The 14,756-nt window shown below is 47.3% G+C and overlaps 1 protein-coding gene across 14 annotated transcripts in view; it reads right to left on the bottom strand.

Moving 5' to 3' along the window:
* Positions 1 to 14,756, bottom strand: part of DYSF (dysferlin) — a 233,203-nt gene that overhangs the window by 204,314 nt on the left and 14,133 nt on the right. For all 14 annotated transcript variants that reach the window (NM_001130979.2, NM_001130981.2, NM_001130980.2 and 11 more), the window contains exons 2-3: positions 1,512 to 1,567; positions 480 to 571 (exon numbers count right to left, since the gene is read on the bottom strand). In NM_001130979.2, the coding sequence (NP_001124451.1) occupies positions 480 to 571; positions 1,512 to 1,567 (148 nt within the window). The remainder of the gene's footprint in view (positions 1 to 479; positions 572 to 1,511; positions 1,568 to 14,756) is intronic.

Below are 14,756 nucleotides of genomic sequence, written 5' to 3'. Positions count from 1 at the left end.
CTAAACCACGAATCTTAACCTCTAGTCCTACCCCTTCCATGAAGCATTCCTGGAAAGCTCCCTGCTAGCTACAGTTTCACTTTGCCTGCCTGCCTGCCTCCTGCAGGGGGCCTCTGCCCTCACTGGCCTGGGCTGGGCCGGGAAAGAGAGCCCACCTCAGGGAGCCTCTGGGCTGGAGCAGCAGGAAGCGAGTCTTCCTGCTCCCTGGGGCACACACTGTCTGTGCAAATGCGTGGACACCTGATTCCAGCCCATCTTCCCTCCCCTGTAGCCTGGAAGCTCAGCTGTACCCATGGCTGAGTTCCTGAAGCCACAGCCAGATTCTCCCAACATCTATCACTGGGCCAGTCCCATGGGAGGAGGTGGATAAATGCTAATTGAAACCCCAGCTCCCTGGGGCCTGGGATTCTGCAGTCTGTATACTCCACAATCCTACCTGCACCTTCAAGCCATGGAGCACCCCCCTCTGGCCACCTTACCTGTTCCTCCCCATCGTCTCATGGTCTTTGACCACCACATGAAGCTCAGAGCCCTGGTCCAGGGGGATGCCCTTGAGGTCCCATTCAAATCCCTGGAAGAAAAAGAGAAAAGGCATCTTAACCTATGGCCCTCTAGGAGAAGAGACTGTGTCTGGTTCACCTTCGTGCCACCAGGGCACTGAGTAGGCATTCATGAATGATTCTAGTGGATAGGCAGATGGATCAATGGATGGATGGAAGCATGGATGGATGGATGGATGGATGGATGGATGGATAGATGAAGACCACAGATCCAGAAATTCAGAGGTGACAGTATGAGCTGAAGACAGCAGAAGAGAGGAGAGAGGTCTTTCACAGGCCCCTCTCCCAACTCAGTTTCAACCCATCCCCAGGAAGCCAAGCCAGGAGTGTGGCTGGGAAAAAGCCAGGTGACCCTGAAGCATCCTCAAGGACCAAGATTATTGGGCTCATCCAGACGCCAGGCCCTGGTAGGCAGCACGAGTTAGTGCCATGTTGGCTAGGCCCCCATGACCCTCCTCAGAGCAAAGGCTCCCCTGTGCATCCGACCCCATCCATGCAAGGCAGCAGGGCTTCCAAAGGACCACCCGGGAGCCATGTATGCAGGGAGCTGGTTGAGGGGACAGGGGCTAGCAGGAGCCAGAGGAGGACCTGCCTCATCAGGGAGGGCTGTGGGGAGAAGGTGAGCTTTGAGCAAGGAAAAAGGAACAGCCTGTGTGAGAGAAACAGGCAGGCAAGAGAGTCCCTGAGCACCCTTTACCTGGCTGGCCAGAGCTGGGGGGAAACAGAAACAAAAAATATCTAGCTCCCCTCCATTTACCTAGTAGGCCAGGCCACCAACCCTCCTCCCAGGTTCCTAGAGCAAGAAGGATTTCGTTGGCAGGCTGGACCACCAGCCCCTCCCCACCTCAAGGACACTGCTGAGAAGGCACCTCCTCCACAAGCCCCCTAACTTGTCCCTGCAGACACAACTGCAGCAGACAGAGAGAAAAGGAAGGAGAAAAACTCACATACCTCATTCCATACAGGGTTCACGCTGTTCTTGATGACTTTGGTTCTCTTCTTCACCCCTACAAGAGACACAAAAGGGAGAATGGAGAGACACATCCCGCCTTTCACCTTCCGCTGAGTTAGGCTCAGCTTCTGAGACCTGTGCTTCAGCTTGGTCGCCAAGGGAAATCTTACAAAATCAACAGATTCCCTGAGAACCCGCCAGTCTGCAATGAATCCCCAATGCCAATCACACAACTTCCCCCTCTCAGCTCTGGGACATCAGAAACATGCTTTCAAAAGAAAGTACCCAGGCTGACTCTCCTTAATGAGTTTGTTATTGTTATTTCTGACTTTTTAAATAATTTTTTTAATTATAAATTTTCTGATTGTAGTATTATTTTTTTTAGAGACAGCATCTCACTCTGTTGCCCAGGCTGGAGTGCGATGGTGAGATCATAGCTCACTGCAGCCTCAAACTCCTGGGATCAAGCTATCCTCTCACCTCAGGCTCTTGAGTAGCTGGGACCACAGGCACACACCACTAGATCAAGCTGGTGTGTATGTGTGTGTGTGTGCGTGTGTGTGTGTGTGTAGACGGGGGCCTCACTATATTGCCCAGACGGGTCTGGAACTCCTGGCCTCAAGCGATCCTCCCACCTTGGCCTCCCAAAGTGCTGGGATTACAAATGTGAGCCACCACATCCAGCCTTCTAATTCTAACAATGAACAATCTCCCTAGAAAGTATTTCATTCCTCTTTTGAACAACATCCATCTCCAGAAATTATATGATTCCATCTATAAGAAATGTCCAGAATAGGCAAATCTGTAGAGACAGAAAGCAGATTAGTTGTTTCCAGGGGCTAAGAGAAGGGAAAGGGAAAATAGAAATGGGGACGTGATTGATTAATGGGTATAGGGTTTCTTCTTGAGGTGACAAAAATGTTCTGGAATTAGATCATGATGATGGTTGCACAATATTGCAACCTAAAACCAATTAAATTATATATGTGGAAATTGTTCAAATGGTGAATTTTATGATATGTTAATTTTATTTCCATTTAAACAAAATCCACTTCACCCTCCAAGGCCTTGAAGGAGTCCATCTGAGGCAAGCTGTCCCAAGGAAGCTCTATGTGGCTGGGAGGGCTGGCTGAGGGAATGCAGAATGGCTCTGAGGTGGACAAGAAGAACTAACACTTTGATGGCTGAGAGCTGACCCACTGTGCCCCAGACGATGCACGGCAGAAGCCCTTCCTCTGGAGCAGTGGGCATGAAGGGGCAAGTGCCTGTCCCCAGTGAGGTGGGCAGGTGAGGCTTGAAAGAAAGGTGGCAAAGGAGACGCACAAGGAGACCCTCCTCCTAGGGTAGGTTCTACAGCAGTGGGCAGGAAGGTCATTTCCATGGAAGAGCCGTAGGCTGGGAGAAACAGGCAGGTGCTGCAGCCCCTGGTCCTTTACTGGGCTGGCAAGTGCATTTCTCTCTCTGGATGATCCACAAAACAAGGAGTTTGGACAGAGCTTTGGCCCTCTCTGCTTGGCGGCCCACCATGTGGACCGACAGGTCAGGGTGAGGGGTTCCCCCACTAAGCCCAGTAGGTCTGGAGACACGTCTTCCATGAAGACACTGATCCACAGAAAAAGAGTGTTGAAGGTCCCAAAGAAGAAGAGAAGGCATTTAATGAAGCTTTGTTCTGCAGTGCCCTGGGCACTTCCAGTAAGCATCAGGAAAAGAAACGATGGGGCGCTCAACAGACAATTCAAAGGGTTCAGCCTGACACAGAACTTTTATTTGGGTCGGCTCTTAAAGATCACCTCATTCCACCCAACCTGTGCAAGACTCAGTGGAAAGCCTTTGGTCTCCACCTGGATGGCTCAGCTTTCAGAGAGTCCTGCCTGGACCACGAAAGTCCCTCGAGCCTCTGGCCACATCTCCCAGGAGCCCCAGTAGGCTTTAGAGCCAAGCACATCAGAGTCCATCCAGCCTGGAGAGGTGCAGCCTCCTGTGGGGTCGGCCCCGCCCTGCCAGGTTCAGAGCCTGGAGAAGAGGAGGAGGGAAGCAGAGAGGGATCAAGGAGGCAGGCAAGGGGTGAGGGAGGATTTGAAGAAGAGGAGAGAGAAAAAAAGAGAAAGAGAGCACGTGAGAGGGAGCAAAAGACCATCTGAGGGAGGGAGGGAGGCAGGGAGGGGCTCAGGGAGATTCTAAGGGAATTATCTTGTAAATATTTGCTCGTTGTAGTGAGTCCCGCAGAGATTCCGATAAACCTCCCTCCAGGGAGAGGGGGGAGCTCCCAAACTCCCTCTCCCACTGTGAATCACTGATCATGGAAAAAATCATGAAATTTGAAATCACAGGCCACTATAAAACACTTATTTCCTGTGATTCTTTGGGGCAGCAGTTCAAACTTTTTGGTCACAGGATGTCACTCTTAAAAATTATTGAGGATGCCTGGGCCGGGCGCGGTGGCTCACACCTGTAATCCCAGCACTCTGGGAGGCTGAGGTGGGTGGATCACGAGACCAGGAGATTGAGACCATCCTGGCTAACACGGTGAAACCCCATCTCTACTAAAAATACAAAAAATTAGCCGGGCATGGTGGCTGGCACCTGTAGTCCCAGCTGCTCGGGAGGCTGAGGCAGGAGAATGGCGTGAACCCAGGAGGCGGGGCTTGCAGTGAGCCGAGATGGCACCACTGCACTCCAGCCTGGGCGACAGAGTGAGACTCTGCCTCAAAAAAAAAAAAAAAAATTATTGAGGATGCCAAAGAGCTTTTATTTAGGTGGCCTGCATCTATGAATTTTTACATTAGAAATTATAACTGAAGCATTTAAAAATAATTATTTAGTAATTTTAAAATCACAATAAGCCCAATAAATATTAACATAAGTGACACATATATAGCAAAAAAAAAAAAAAACTATAACTTCCCAAAAAAGGAAAAGTGACACTTTTAGATTTTTGCAAATCTCTTTAATGCTTGGCTGGATTCTCATATCTATTAATACCTCAGCATTCAAACTGCTGAGACTCCTCATTTTGATTGATGTCTATGAAGAAAATCCAACCAGATATGTAGTTGGAAAGGGAGGCCTATTTTAATACACTTTCAGATAACTGTGAATATCCTTCTTTGATACTACATCAAAACTCAACAAGTAGTAGTTCTTAACTTCTTAACAGTAAGTTGCAATGTGAAATCTGAAACCAGATCAATGAACATTTTGTACTCTGCTACATTAAAATTCATTGTTCTATCTTGCAGTTTGAATGAATCTTTCACCCACGTATGATTCTGTAACAGTTGCATTGGTCATTTGGAAAATTTTTGTTCAGTCAGTTACGTAGATCTTCCCAGATGTTGACACATTTCACAATGCCCTACCAAAAAATTACACTCATACATTAATGTCACCATCAGCCTTCTGTAAGCAGGTAGGGAGATTGAGCAATCTGCCTGCTTTACAGCTTTCTGTCTTACAGCCTGTTTTTTTCAAGCTCTGTGTAGTAGGCGGTCATCTAGTGGGCTAAAACCAGCTCCTGACAGAGCCCGGCAACTTACAGATGAACCCCAATGAACTTTCCTCATGACCATGCTAAAGCCTGCACCCCAGGAGACCTGTAGCTTCATTACCATAACATGCAACCTATGTGCTGGCACCATGACTCACAGCATCTGTGCCACCGGGAACCCTCCTCTACATGCGATGTTGCACCCTCTCCCCTCTCCATTGCCCCATAAAACCCTCCTGTCACTTTCCCTCAGGGAGACACTGCTTTGTCCCAGTGCTCCTGCTTGTGACAAGTAATAAAATTCCTATTGATCAAAACCTGCATTCTCATGGAACGTCGTTTGTTATTCACCATGTGAACAAATCCCAGAGTTTTGGGGGAGTAACACTTTCAGTACTGGGAAGCTGGAAGTTACTTCTCAAAGTTTTCTAAAACTCCAATTTCTGCTTGAAAAGCTCAAATTTTTTGATTGGCAGCAAGTGGTATTTCAAGCCATTTTCCTTGAAATGGCAGGCTCACTCTTTCATTTTTAAGAAAATATCTGCCCAATGCCCAGGTCAAATAACTATAGTTTTGTCAGTCATTCTTTAAAGTAAAAACAGTATTCCATGGAAAAAAAAAAAAAAAGCAGCTAGTTCGGTTTGTCACTTAAGCAGTGACTCCAGTGCTTTTCCTGGAGACAATCATCATTTTGTGATGTGCAGCAGAGGTGCACTATGCATACTTCCCATTTCATCACACAGAACATTCTCAACACATGTACAGGAGGATTCAAACTAATCCTTTTACTGCTTCATCAAGGACACTCTTAAATGAAACTGCCTTTTTATTTTTAACTGTGAGTGCATGCAATCTAAAAAACACAACAAGAAGCACAATTTAGTGCCAAGGCCTTTTTTTTTTTTTCTTGAGATGGAGTCTCACTCCAGTCATTCAGGCTGGAGTGTGATGGTGTGATCTCGGCTCACTGCAACCCCTGCCTCCCAGGTTCAAGCGATTCTCATGCCTCAGCCTCCCGAGTAGCCGCGACTACAAGTGCCTACCACCTAGCTTGGCTAATTTTTGTATTTTTAGCCTGACCATGTTGGCCAGGCTGGCCTCAAATTCCTGACCTCAGGTGGTCTGCCCACCTCGGCCTTCCAAAATGCTGGGATTACAGGTGTGAGCCACCACACCCAGCCTGCCAAGGCCTCGATTAGTGATCAGGTGCCAGTAGTATTAGCTGCCATTGCTGTTGTACCATCAGTACAAATGTCCAAACAGTAAAAAAGGCAGATAGCCTCTTAGTGTTGTTGTGAAGGAGTTTTGACCTTCTGACCTGCTCAAAGAGTCTTGAGGATCCCCCCAAGTTCCATGTACAACACTTTAAGAACTTCTTAGGGGCCAGTGAGGTCCTCACACTTGTAATCCCAGCAGTTTGGGAGGCTGAGGTGGGAGGATCGCCTGAGGACAGGAGTTCAAGACTAACCTGGGCAATATAGTGGGGCTCCATCTCTACAAAAAATTTACAAAATTAGCCAGGTGTAGTGGTGCATGTGCCTGCGGTCCCAGCTACTCGAGATGCTGAGGTGGGAGGGTTGCTTGAGCCCAGGAGTTTGAGGCTGCAGTGAGCTGTGGTCGTACCACTGCACTCCAGCCTGGGCAACAGAGCAAGACCCTGTCTCTAAAAAATAAAATAATCTCTTAGGAAATTCATTTAACATTTCTGCCTCAATTTCATCATCATAATATCTACCTTACAAGGGGTTGCTGTGAAAATTACCGAGATAGAACGTTGAGGTGCCTGGCACATAGTATGCTGATTACATGTGAGTTTCCTTCCCCTGCCCTCCCCTCTGTGCCCACTCTGATGGATCTAGTGAACTCCTACTGACTCTTCAATACCCAGCACGGTTGTCTCTCCTCTGGTAAGACTCCCCTGACTCTCCCAAAAGAGGTAGCTGATCTCTCTTTGGTGCTCCCTAACCATGCTGTGACCACATGTGCAGGACAGCCGTGTAGCAGTGTGCTTCTAGCTCTGAACCCCCAACTGGGCTGGGAGTTTCTGGCGGCAAACACCATGCCTTACTCACATTACTAACTGTAACCCTAGTCTATAGCGAGGTGGCCAGTAATCGGGTGCTGAATGAATGGGTCCTTTTCTTTCCACGTTGACTGCAAGTTGACTTCCTCACAAGAGGATAGAAGCGCTGTTTCCAGGGAACGCCCCAAGACTTCATTCATGGTGTGGCTGTTTGTCAGCGGAGGGAGGAAGAAAGGAGGCGCCATGTGGGGGAAGGGTCCTGGCTGAACCACTTTGAATTCTGTGTGGCCCATATTGGTGTGGCTCCAGCAGGAGTCAGACACACCGCTTTGGAGTCACTCAACTAACAGCCACTACTATGTGACCTTAGGGAGGACTCATAACCTCTAGGCCTTGCTCCTCAGCAATCAGTGGATCATAATAAAAGTGTCTGCTGCACAGGGTTCTGAGGGGGCCTGAGATGCAAGCTACGTGTCCACTTCCCCTCCCCTATCACAGATCAGCTTCCTGTGACCTACAGGAGTAACATGGAAAATTCCATCTGCAGCCTCTCATGAGTTGCACACTTGGAAACTCATTTCCTGGTGCTCCAGGCTTCCTTAACTGAGCGATATCTGTGTGCCAAGCCCTGTGCTAAATATCTTTTAATCATTTTCCACTTCCTACCTTCCCTGTAGATGAGGAGAATAAAAGCTCTCAATGAGATTTCACTAAGTCCTGGTTAGAAGGGCCAACTCTGGGACCCTCTGGGTAACATGAAGGAAGGGGTCACTCATGGGTGCTGCAGCCCCAAAGAGGAGAAAGAAAGAAACGAAACATTCACTAAGCACAATCACGTGATTTACAGGCACCAAGAAAAGGGAAGGCACATTGATAATTAGGAAACTGTTAAGAAAATAGTTCCTCATCATGGATTTTGGCCTGCCCTGTTCCTGATTATTAATTTAGGCCTTGAGAGATGTGGCTTTATGCATGTAATTTAACAGAAGTTGAAGATACAGGAGAGCTCACAGCTTATGCTGGGTGAGGAAAGGGGGCCATGCCCTCTTCCCAAACTGCTCTGAGGAACTGGGGACCAGCAACAGGTGTAAGATTCATGATGAAACCCTGAGGGTTCCTCTAGACTGAGTGACTCAGCCAGTTACAAAAAGACAAATAGTGTGTGATTCCATTTATATGAGGTACCTAGGGTAGTCAAAATCGGCTGGGCATGGTTGCTCACGCCTGTAATCCCAGCACTTTGGGAGGTGGATGCGGGTGGATCACCTGAGGTCAGGAGTTCCAGACCAGCCTGACCAACATGGAGAAACCCTGTCTCTACTAAAAATACAAAATTAGCCAGGCGTGGTGGCACATGCCTGTAATCCCAGCTACTCGGGAGGCTGAGGGAAGAGAATCACTCGAACCCGGGAGGCAGAGGTTGTGGTGAGCCAAGATCACACCATTGCTCTCCAGCCTGGGCAACAAGAGAAAAGCTCTGTCTCAAAAAAAAAAAAAAAAAAAAAAAAATCATACAGAAAGTAGAACTGCAATTACCAGGGGCGGTGAGGGAGGGGAATAGGGAGTTAGTGTTCAATGGGTATAGAGTTTCAGCTGGGGAGGATGACAAGTTCTGGAGATGGTGATAACTGCACAATGATTAATGCCACAGAACTGTATACTTAAAAATGGCTAAGATGGTACATTTCATGTTATGTGCATTTTACCACAATTTTTTTTAAGTCCAGGTGGGAAATGGAATGGACACAGGTGGTGGGCCTGAGGTCTACTGGCCAGTATCGGCTTGGCGAATGGGAAGCAGGAGGAGCAGAAGATGTCTCCCAGTCTCGGATGTCCCTCCTAGAGAGGGGACAGAGAGAAGGAGAGGAGTTGCGGTGTCTCAGACTCCCAGTGAGAGAGACAGAGAGACAGCTGCATCTGCCCATGAGTCAGGCAACAGGAGTTACTCTCAGAAGCTGCAGGGGGCTTTGGATCCTGCAGCAGCCTAGATGCAGACTCTTGCTTATCCCCCAGATATTTATTGAGGGCTTACTTTGTGCAGGGCGTTTCTTGACGGCCCCATTAGAATACACATAAGACCAAGAAAGTGACAGAAATTCAAAGAATCAGCAGAAAACCCAAAGGCAGCAGCAAGTGAAAGGAGAAAAGATGGCCCTAGCGTGGGCTGAAGGAAGGCCTGTATTACCTCTTGGTACAGACACCCCCAAACAAAAAGCAGAGGTAGATGGTCATTCTGACACCTGCCCTGCCATGGTGTTCTCAGGCCTGGACACCCCAAGAACTGGGCAGCTGTCTCCCCTATCATCAGCAGAGCACTGCTCCTCTCCCCGTCAACCACCCTCCACCCCACCTTCCTAAATCCTAGCTGGAACCACAGAAGTGGCCAAAAAGGGAGGGAGCCAGGGTGAAATGCACTTCAAGAAGAGTAGTCTTTAAACTCAGAAGGCCTGGGGAAGATATTTACATTAGAACTGGGGAAGATATTTACATATAATTTTTACTTGCCAATTAAAGAAAAACAAACAGAACTGGAGAAGATACTAGAAACATCTATGACAAAAACGGTAACATTCTCAATACATAAAGAGCACTTGCAACTAATGAAGAAAAAGACAAACATGCTCCACCATGGGCAAATGAAAAAGTAATTCAGTAAGAATAAATACGAATAGGTGATAACAATGAAGTATCACAAATACTATTTGAACCTTAAGAAAGTGTTGGCTTGGCGCGGTGGCTCACGCCTGTAATCCCAGCACTTTGGGAGGCCAAGGCGGGTGGATCACGAAGTCAGGAGATCCAGACCATCCTGGCTAACATGGTGAAACCCCGTCTCTACTAAAAATACAAAAAATTAGCCTGGCGTGGTGGTGGACGCCTGTAGTCCCAGCTACTTGGGAGGCTGAGGCAGGAGAATGGCGTGAACCCGGGAGGCAGAGCTTGCAGTGAGCCGAGATCGCGCCACTCCACTCCAGCCTGGGCGACAGAATGAGACTCTGTCAAAAAGAAAAAAAAGAAAGAAAGTGTCAAAGATTTACAGGACAATGCTGTGTGTTAGCAGGATTATTAGAAAAATAAGCCCTCATACTTGGCTGACAGGAGGATAAAGTTGATACAGACTTCAAGAACAATTTGGGAAATGCAGCAACGCATTAAATCTGTCTATAACCTCTGACATAGCAATTCATCTTCTGGTATTTACCCAAAGGAAATAATTAAATATGTGGCCAAAGATGTAGTCACCAGAATATGCCTCACAGTGACTGTATAATTTAAGCACTGGATATAAATATAAACACTTATATAACCTAAATATTCATCAGTAGGGGGTTGAGTAAATTAATGATGGTGCATCCATATAAGAAAATATTACGCAGATATTTATAAAGGTGTTATAGAAGAATACTTACTGACATAAAAAATGACCCTGGATTTTTTTTTAATTAATTAATTGATGTTTTTGAGACTGAGTCTCATTCTGTCATCCAGGCTGGAGAGCAGTGGTGAGATCTCGGCTCACTGCAGCCTCCACCTCCTGGGTTCAAGCGATTCTTGTGCCTCTGCCCCTCAAGTAGCTGGGATTACAGGCACACACCACCATGCCTGGCTAATTTTTGTATTTTTCAGTAGAGACAGGGTTTCACCCTGTTGGCTGGCCTGGAACTCCTGGCCTCAAGCAATCCGCCCACCTCAGCCTCCCAAAGTGCTGGGATTACAGGCGTGAGCCACCACACCCGGCCCCCTGGTTTATTTTTCAGCAAATGTGCAAACATTTGGGAAAAAAAAAATCTATGATGGGATTACTTCTGGTGGAGAAATGGGGCTGGCCAGGTGCTATTTCTTGACCTGTTTGACCTGGGTGATATTACATAGTTATTCTCTTCACACACATATTTATTCTCAACCGTGGCATGATTACTATGTGGGCTGAATCACTCTGTGGTTGGTGTGGGGGACCTCCCCTTGCACTGTGGAATGTCTAGCAGCATCCTCAGCCTCTACCCTGTAGATAAACACCCTGTGCCCCCAACCCCTGTGGCAACAACCCAAAATGTCTCCAGACATTGGCAAATGTCATCTGAGGAAAAAACTGCCCCCAGTTGAGAACTACTGTATTAAATCATATATTTATATCTTCTGCACTTTCCTTGTATGTTAAATTTTATAACTAAAATTTTTAAGAAAAAAAATCTTGGAGGAAATGTGTCAAATTGTTAACAAGTTAATTCAAAGTGGCAGGATTTGGGGCTATTTTTTACTCTTGCCTCATGGCCTTTCTGTAGTTTGTCATTTTTAACAGCAAGTACATATTATGTTTATAAAAAGAAAACAGGCTAGGCGGGGTGGCTGACACCTGTAATCCAAGCACTTTGGGAGGCCAAGGTGGGTGGATTGACTGATGTCAGGAGTTTGAGACCAGCCTGGGCAACATGGTGAAACCCCATCTCTACTAAAAATAAAAATAAAAATTAGCCAGGCATGGTTGCAGGTGCCTGTAATCCCAGCTACTCGGGAGGCTGAGGCAGGAGAATCACTCGAACCTGGGAGGCGGCGGTTGCAATGAGCCGACAACGTGCCATTGCACTCCAGCCTGGGTAATAAGAGTGAAAGTCCATTTCAAAAAAAAAAAAGAAGGAAGGAATGAAGGAAGGAAGGAAGGAAGGAAGGAAGGAAGGAAGGAAGGAAGGAAAGAAGGAAGGAAGGAAAGAAGGAAGAGAAGAGAAAGCTCTTTTCTTTTTTTTTTTTTTTTTTTTGAGATGGAGTCTCACTCTGTCACCCAGGCTGGAGTGCAGTGGCTCAATCTTGGCTCACTGCAACCTCCGTCTCCTGGGTTCATGCCATTCTCCTGCCTCAGCCTCCCGAGTAGCTGGGACTACAGGCACCCACCACCACACCCGGCTAATTTTTTTTGTATTTTTAGTAGAGACAGGGTTTCACCATGTTAGCCAGGATTGTCTCGATCTCCTGACCTCATGATCCACCCGCCTTGGCCTCCCAAATTGCTGGGATTACAGGCGTGAGCCACCACGCCTGGCCGCTGTTTTCAATATTTTAAGTCATTTGTAATATGTAAACAGCTAGGTTCAGAGAGTCCGGGGCCTTCAGCCCACTTTCCCTACATAGGTGAGTTAAGAGTGTTCCCTGACGACAGGAATCCACCTCCAACTAGTTCTATAAGATCCCCCAACTCCTGCCCCAAATCTAGAGACCCCCAGGAGATCAAGAAGAGAAGAGGTGGGAGGGGGAGGCTGGAGGAGGAGACGCCCTGACAGGATGAGAGAGAGGGAAGTGTCAGTAATGACTTCTGGGTTCCTGGCTGATGACACAGGGCAGAAATTCACCAAGTGGGGACGCAGCAGATCTGGCCTTCAAGGAAATAAGATGTTTCAGCTTTAAAGCAGTAGGGATCTGGTTTTGTTCTTGTATGCATCCAAGCACCTAGAAAAGCACCAGGCACGTAGTAGGTACTCAGTAAATATTTGTTCAATGAACTAACTGCATGAATAGAGGGATATAAATAATCACATTAAGGAATGGAAAATGGGCAGGGCAGAAAAGAAGTACAGACAATTAAATGCTATAGGAAATTAAGCTGCTCGTTGACACAATCAGTCAAAAATATCTACTATGGCCCAGTTACTCATGGTAGTTTTAGTTAATGAATTAATTAATAGAAAAACAAAAGAATGAGAAGTATTCATTAGTAGCCTCTACTATTAATAGAGGTGCTTAGACAGGGAAGCCAAAAAATTGCCCTCAGAGTCCAGCCTCCCAGAGCTCATAGTCTATTTTGGGAGGCAGGTCCTGAAATTACATCCGAGACAGGGAACAACTGCAAGGAAAGTGGGGCCAGCCCAGCCCCATACATTTCAGGCTGCCTGTAGGAGCCAAACACACAGTGCAGGCTGGCTTCTCTGCAAGCAGGCCACTGTCCCATCTGTGCCATGAGGAGCTGGGCTCAGTGGTTCTCAACCCTGACTGCACATTCAAAACACCTGGAAATTTGACAGAAACAACACCTATGCCTGGGGCCCCACCGGAAGGGATCTGGCTTCAGAAAAGGCAGGCAGGGAGGTTGGCAGTGGTCTTTGGTGAAGCTCCCACACACAATGTTGACCTGCAGCCAGAGTTGAGTCCCCCCAGCCTACATGCTCTGTAAGTTCTGAACCTGGTTCTAACGGTTTCCCTCCTTAGGCATCAACTCAGCCCCAAACTCCCCAGTGAATGCTCCCGCAATGGGGAGCGCATTAATTTCACCTGCCATCACATCTCAGACCCATTTTTCCCAAGATGCGGTTCCAAAATAACCTGCATCGGGTATTTGTTAAGTGCTGATTCTTAGGTCACCTTCCAGACCTGCTGCATCGGAACCTCTACAGATGGGGACTCTGGAATCTGTTTCTCAAACACGTTCTACAAGTGATTCTCAGGAACAATCAAGTGAGCGGACCATGTCCCAGACTAAATGAAGCTCCCAGGCACACCTGGAGGATGGCTAGAGGCTGGGCCAGAAAGCGCACAAACACTAGAGAGCACCTACTTGTGCTCAGCACTGGGACAAACCAATGAACAAATAGGACAGGTCACTGCTCTCAAGGCACCTAAGCATGGAGCTGAGCACAGGCCAGTCAGGGCGAGGGTGCTAGCATCCCTAGCAAGGTGCTGCTGCTTGTCATCCAGAGAGGAGAGACTCTTGAGAGCCAGGGGGATCCAGGGTGTCCTCCTGGAGAAGGTGGCATTGCCCTGGGCTTTGAAATACAAATAGACTTGAAACGGTTGGAGATGTTACATTCTATTGTATGGTATTTCTGTTTTCCGAGGAGATCATCAGTGCAAATAAATAGTAAGGCATTACAAAGAAGGAATACAGAGATCTGGGGGGAGATAGCAGCTGCACGTGTTCGGGGTACTTGGGCGAGGGCAATAGTAAAGAGGGGCCTCAAGGGATTTGGTCATCTTCCCGACTCAAGGGCAATACCCACTCCAAGCGCTGGTAGCTCCCTGCCATGACCACTGACCTGAACACATTTAACTTCCCTGGGTTTCAATTTCCTTATTTGCAGAATGGAGACATTGGTAGCCACCACAGGACTGTTACAGGACAAGGGAAAGAGCTGTGAGCAGACCCAAACGAGTGTTAGAGCATCCAGAGCCCTATGCTAATGTGTGCCCTGCCCAGTGTCCTTAGGGAATTTCTTTTCCAGCCAATGGTGACACCGCAATTTCTGCATAGCAAAGCCTTAGGCAGCATCAGGTGGACACTGGAGAAGGAAAGACTTTGTCTTGAAGTTGCTCTTGCATAGTGAACTCCCAGGCATGTCACCAATCAATGAAAATAGTGAAATTTTCTTAAACGTTTCAAATCACATCTTTCAAAAGAGGAATACATATAACTTGTCCCACAGCAAAGAATAAAAGCTACACATAAATCTCCCTTTGCCAAATCATGTCTTTCATCTATCATTATCTTGGGGGTGCTTGGAGATATGATTCAGATCATGGGTCAGACTGAAAAGAGTTCCCTTGGTGCCTGCACTGAAGGAGGCTTATGAAAACACCAGCTACTCTTCCTTCTTCATTTGACTATCTTTTCTGATACGTAGATTTTTATTATTATTATTATCGATTCCACAAAGCTACAGGGTATGGCTCCTGGCTAAGTGGAAACCCTCTTTCCTCTCCTGATTTATCTTTCTCTGCAGAACTGGGGTCCTGACTCACAGCTATTGTTCC

Source organism: Homo sapiens, chromosome 2, assembly GCF_000001405.40.
Source record: "Homo sapiens chromosome 2, GRCh38.p14 Primary Assembly".
Classification (NCBI taxonomy): Eukaryota; Metazoa; Chordata; class Mammalia; order Primates; family Hominidae; genus Homo; species Homo sapiens.
Note: the sequence above shows the minus strand (reverse complement) of the source record. Positions and strands in the feature narration are given on the sequence as shown.